At 33.9% G+C, this 6,460-nt stretch overlaps 1 annotated feature.

Annotated features, from left to right (window-relative positions):
* Positions 3,226–3,426: a silencer, noted in NCBI's record as "peak2351 fragment used in MPRA reporter construct". NCBI's record gives its function as "represses an SCP1 promoter by STARR-seq MPRAs in K562 erythroleukemia cells {active_cell/tissue: K562}" and the evidence as "EXISTENCE:reporter gene assay evidence [ECO:0000049][PMID:32103011]".

Consider the following 6,460-nt stretch of genomic DNA (forward strand, 5'->3'; position numbering starts at 1 on the left):
AAAACAGAAGGTCAAACAGATGCTTTTACACAAATGTTTATAGCAACATTATTCACAATAGCCAAAAGGTATTAATAGAAATGTCCATTAACAGATGAACACATAAACAAAATGTACATACATATAATGGAATATTACTCAGCCATAAAAAGAGATGAAGTACTGATACATGCTACAACGTTCTTGAACTTCAAAAGATTATGCTAAATGAAGAAGCCAAATAAAAAGTTCCCATATTACATGAACAGTCTAGAATAGTTAAATCCATAGTGACATATTGATTGGTGGTTCTCAAGAGCTGGTTGGGGGAGTGGGAAGTGACTGCTCAATAGATACAAGGCTTTTCCTGAGGTGATGAAAATGTTTTAGAGATAGAGGTGGTGGTTGCACAACATTGTGAATGTTCTAAATGCCACTGAATTGTGCACTCTAAATTGTTAATTTTATGTCAATTTCACCTCTATGTGAAAAAATATATACATATATATTCATCCATACACATATAGAAATAGAGAAAGCAATACGGCAAACGTTAGTGTTTCATAAATCTAGGCAAAAGATGTATAAATGTTCACTGAACTATTATTTCAAGTTTAATGTAGAAGTCAGTCTCATGTAGAAGTCAATAAAATGTTGAGAAAAACTTATTCAAATAGTAACTTACCTTTAGTATAAATCAAAAATTGACAAAATCACAAGGAGAAATTGACAAATCTACCATCAAGATGAGAGATTTTAAGAAACTCTCTTAATAATTAACAGGTAAAGCAGATTTTTAAAACTTAGTGAGGATAAGGAATATATGAACAGTTTCATTTAATAGAAATACGTAGAACATTGTATCCAGCAACTGCAAAAACTGCAACCTTTTAAATACACATGTAGTGCTTATGAAAATGGACCATGTGTTAGGAGATAAAGCAAGTCTTGATAAATTTTGATGCATCAGTGTTATATAGAGCATATTATAACTATAATACTAGTCACAATAAATAAATTTTGAAAATATTCAAAAAGTTATATATTTAGCAATTATTCATGGAATAAAGAAAAATATGATGTAAGTTTTAAAAATTGACCTAAATTATAACAAAAATAGTTGAGATCAAAACTTGTAGTACCAGGAGAAAACATATAGCCAAATTTTAGGAAAAAAAAGGTAAAAATTAATAAGACTTAATTTTATTTATTTTGTACAGACAGGGGTCTCACTATGTTGGCCAGGCTGATCTCAAACTCCTGGCCTCAAATTATCCTCTCAACTTGGCCTCCAAAAATGCTCTTTTTCTAATGTTAAAAGTTAGGTCTGGCAGCAAGCCACTGTGCAGTGAGCCACTGTATCTGGCCAGACTTTTAACATTAGAAAACGGGCAACAGAACAAGATATTAAAAGTGAGAAAATAATCAAAATATAAATTAAAGAAACGGAAAACAAATACACACCAAAGAGCATCAACAAAGAAAAAGGTTGTTTTTGAAATGCCAGCCAAAATTGGCAAACCTCTGGCAAGGTTGATCAATAAAAAGGGAGGCACGTATTAAAATATTGAAAAAATTTTGAAAACTACAGATCAAGCATAATTAAAAAGCTAACACATGAATGTTAAGAAAATCTTTATGCCAATAAATTTGACAACTTCAGTAAGAAGGACAACTTCTTAGAAAATGGACCCCCAAAAAAAAAACAGAAAAAAAATGAGATGAAAATAGGAAAACATGAATGGTCTTACAACCAATATTGAAACTGTTGGCCAGGCACTGTGGCTCACTGTAATCCCGGCACTGGCGAGGCAGGTGGATCACTTGAGGTCAGTAGTTCGAGACCAGCCTGGCCAACAAGGCGAAACCTCATCTCTACTAAAAATACAAAAAGTAGCCAGGCGTGGTGGCGGGGGTCTATAGTCCCAGCTACCTGGGAGGCTGAGGCACGAGAATCACTTGAACCCAGAAGGCGGAGGTTGCAGTGAGACGAGATGGTGCCTCTGCACCCCAGCCTGGGTGACAGAATGAGACTCTGTCTCAAAAAAAAAGAAAAAGAAATTGTATCAGTACCCTAAATCTTTTCACAGGCATGTGCATGCATGCACACACACAGACAGACAGACACACACACACACACACACACACACACACACACACACACACACCATAGTAGGCCCAAAATGATTTTACCAGTAAGTTCTACTGGAAAGAGTTAATTTCAATTTTAATCAAATTTTTCCAGAGAATAGAAAGAAAGAAAGCAATTCCCAGTTAATTTACAATGATAGCACAATTTCCATTCAAAAGCCAAGCAAAAGTATTACAAGAAAAAAAATTTCAGATTAATCTCACTCACGAACATAGATGCAACAATCTATGTTAAATCTACCAAAATATTAGCAATTCAAATCTAGCGTCTAGATTCTAGATTCTAGAATCTAGATTCTTTTTGCAAAAGCCGTTCATCATGAACAAGCCAGCTCCCCAGCCAAAACAGCCTTGTTTGTAGTTGCCTGCTGATTTCCATGTGTAAATACTAAAACTTGCCTGCTTTCAAGGTACCAATATGACTTTACTGAATGCAGAGTTGGAGAGAGATGCTAACACTTAGCTCTCACAAATCACTATCGTGCACGACAGAGGTACCACCAAATACCAATGGATAAAGTTAACGAGCCTGGGATAATTGGCTATCTATTGTTTTTTAATGAAATAAGATGTCTACCTCATGCCATACACAAAAATCAATTGAAGATGAACTATGGACTTAAATGCAAATTTTAAACATTTTTAGAAGAGAATATAGACGAGCATCTTTATGACCTTGGGATAAGAAATTATTTTTACAATAAGACATAAAATCACTGACAATAATGAAAAATATTTTTATTACATTAAAATTATGAAATTCTGTCCATCAAAATGCACCATTAAGGGAGTGAAAAACACCACTAAATGAAGTGATGAAAATTCTTGCTGAAGGAATTTTTTCCCACACAAATACAACTGGATACCATTTTCTTCTGCCTCTTTGGGACCCCTGCCATAACTACTGTCTCTCTCATTCTGTAGCTTAAATCTCTTCTGTGCTGGATTCTTCCTGAAACACTCCCTCTCTTTCTTCTTCACAGTCCAGCTTATTGAAAGATTAATATACATTTACTTTTGCCATTTAGTCGCTTTTCAACTCATTTCTTAGTTGAGCATTTACTTCTCATTTTCACTGCACTCTGGTTTCTTAGTTGACACAGTTCTTTCTAAGGTGACCACTGGTCTCCATAAGATGAAATTCAGTGAACGCTTTTCAGTCTTTATCTGACTTGTCACTCTCCAGAAGCACTCCATAACGTTGACTATGCTTTTCTTAAAATCGGTTCCTCCCTTTGCTTCTGCAGCTGTGCTCACTCCCTATTCCTCACTCCTTCTGAATATTCTCTGCAGGTTTTTCCATTCTTTCTGCCTCTTCATACCACCCACCAAATTTAACTACTTTAAAATTTATATAGGTATATGTGTGTGTATGTACATGTATATGTAGAATATATGCTTACTTTTTAAAATTCCAGAACATTTAGAAAAATAAAAAGAACAGAATTAAAAGTATCAGTAATCCTAATACCCAAAGATAAGCATTGTTATTAATAATACCATAATTGTTATACATTTCTAGAATTTTTCTAGGGATATATATTTATTTTTATAAAATGGTAACTACTATACATAATGGTGCTTTCATCACTTAATATTACATGCATACTCTCTCATATCAGTATAGATTAATATTGTTACTTTATTAACAATAGCTAATACTGAGCTTTACTAAAGTCACTCTGCTAAACTCTCTATATATATATATTTGTCACTGACATTAAAAACTTATAAGATAGAAATTATATTATTCCCGTTTTACAGATGGGAAAACTAAGGCTTTGATAATTTAAGTAAATAGTTCATGGTGTAATGGTGAGTAGCACTAGTGAGAGCTACCCAAGATTTCAACCTAAGCTAATTCCAGAGTTGTACCTGTTTTCACTGCCTATAGAGCTTTACCAATAAGGTCAATTTTACTTGTAAGTAATGTTGATACTCTTTAAAAGAAACATTAATAATTAAAAAGTCTGGCATTAGTTTCAAAATTGGTCATGACCATTCAACAGTGAAGGCTTTGGGTGGTTTCTCTGTGACTCTCATGGCTTTCTCTCAGAGCCTCAGATAGTTACATAGCTCCAAGCACCACATTCTTACATCTTCACACAAAATATCCAGAGAAGGTGAAAATAAACAGTTTTCTCTTCATACATCTCTTAATATAATGTGTACTTCCAAAAAACACAAATAACTACTTTGATGTTTCACTGACCGGAAATAGACCATCTGTCAACTCCTAAACCAAATACATGGTAAGGTTACCATCATCAATCACAATTCACTACCTGAACCGCACCCATCTTCCTTAATCATCTTGCCACTCAATATCTTCAAAAAATGGCAATTCTGTTAGCAAGGGAGAAAAGGAAAATGACTGTTAGGGTGGCAACCAACGTGCTGCCAACAGTCATTTTAAATTTTACGTTTGTACCATGATTTAATTAAGCAATCCCATGTTGAAGGATATTTAAGTTGTTGCTAATTTTACACTGTTATACAGAAAGCTGCAATGAACATATTTGTAGATTTTTTCATACTTTTAAATCTTTCCCCAGGATAAATTCCTAGAAAATTTTTGTATCAAAGCAAATTTTTAAGGTTTGAAAAAATACATATTACCAAGTTGCAATCCAAAATGTATATGCAAATGAAAGCTCTCTAAAACAGAGTATAAGAGCATCCATTTCTTCACACTTTCAAGAATGTTAATTGGTTTTACTATTGCTTTAAATATTTGATAAAAAATAGTATAACTGACTCCTTTTAAGGCTTAGTTTTTAAATCACAAAAGCAAAAGTTGCTTATTGACAAAAATGTAATAGTCCAAATATGTGAATAAAGAAAAAAGTAAACATCCTTTCCCCCTCCCACTGCCGTCATTCTCATTCCCCAGGGGTTAACGATTTTTAACCTGTTGACATTTTTTTAACTCCACAATTGCCAGAATTTTTTCTATCTTGTTCTTTTCTGGATCACTAGTTAATGGCCCAGTTTCTGACATATACTACATTTAACAAATGTTTGTAAAAATAACATCATACCTTCCATTATTTTCTAGAATTTGACCTTTTTCACCCAATAGCATACTGTCAATACCTTTCTATTCTTGAAATATATACATATTTATATATATGTTTAATTTTAAAAAATATATAGGAAGAGTGTTCCACCATATAGATGTAACACAGCTTATCAAACTCCTACTTAGATTATCCCATGTTTTTACTATGATAAGCACCATTCAAATGAATAACATTGGAAGTATACCTTTGTTTTATACTGAAAATATTTCTGGGAAAATTTCTGTGCAAATATTTCAAATATTTCCCATAATATATTCAAGGTCAAAAGATATGTGCCAATTGCTTTCCAAATGATTGCACCAATTTACTTTTTTTTTTTTTTTTTTTTTTTTTAAATATGAGACAGAATTTCACTCCTGTTGCCCAGGCTGGAGTGCAATGGTGTGATCTTGGTTCACTGCAACCTCCGCCTCCCGGGTTCAAGTGATTCTTCTGCCTCAGCCTCCTAAGTAGCTGGGATTACAGGCACCCGCCACCATGCCTGGCTAATTTTTGTATTTTTAGTAGAGACGGGGTTTCACCACATTGGCCAGGCTGGTCTTGAACTCCTGACCTCAGGTGATCCGCCCGCCTTGGCCTCCCAAAGTGCTGGGATTACAGGCGTGAGCCACCACAGTCGGCCATCCAATTTACATTTTTAACACGTGTTTCCCTATTCTCAAGCCAGCATTTGATATCATAAATATTTTTACCTTTTACTACTCTGAAATGTAAATTTTTCTCATTATTTTAATTTTAGACATAATCACTTAGGCAGTAGTTTAACATTTTCTCATAATTGGCCATTTGTATTTCATCTGTAAATTGCCCCTTTACATTCCTTACCTATTTTCCTATTAGATTTTTTGCGCTTTTCTTATTTATCTTAGGGAATTGTTAATATAGTTACCATTTGTCTACTATATATTCTGAAATATTTTCTCCCCACTTTATTATTTGTTCAGTAGCATTGTGTTATTTTTACCATACACAAATTTTATATTCAAATCTATCTCTTTTTTTTTGGTAGAGTACCATGGTGACTTAACTGTTGTAACTTTACAACATAATGTTTTGTTATCTGGCTTGGCAAGCCCCTCACCAAAACTTCCTAACAGGTCTCCCGGTCTCCAGTTCCACCCTTCTCCAATCCATTTTCCATGCTGTGATCAGAGATACTTTTATTGAAAGAAAATCTTACCATGTGTGAAATTCCTTGGGGTGAAGTTTGAACCCTTTAATTTATCATAACGATGTCCACCTACCAC

The sequence above is a fragment of the Homo sapiens genome, chromosome 15, assembly GCF_000001405.40.
Source record: "Homo sapiens chromosome 15, GRCh38.p14 Primary Assembly".
Classification (NCBI taxonomy): domain Eukaryota; kingdom Metazoa; phylum Chordata; class Mammalia; order Primates; family Hominidae; genus Homo; species Homo sapiens.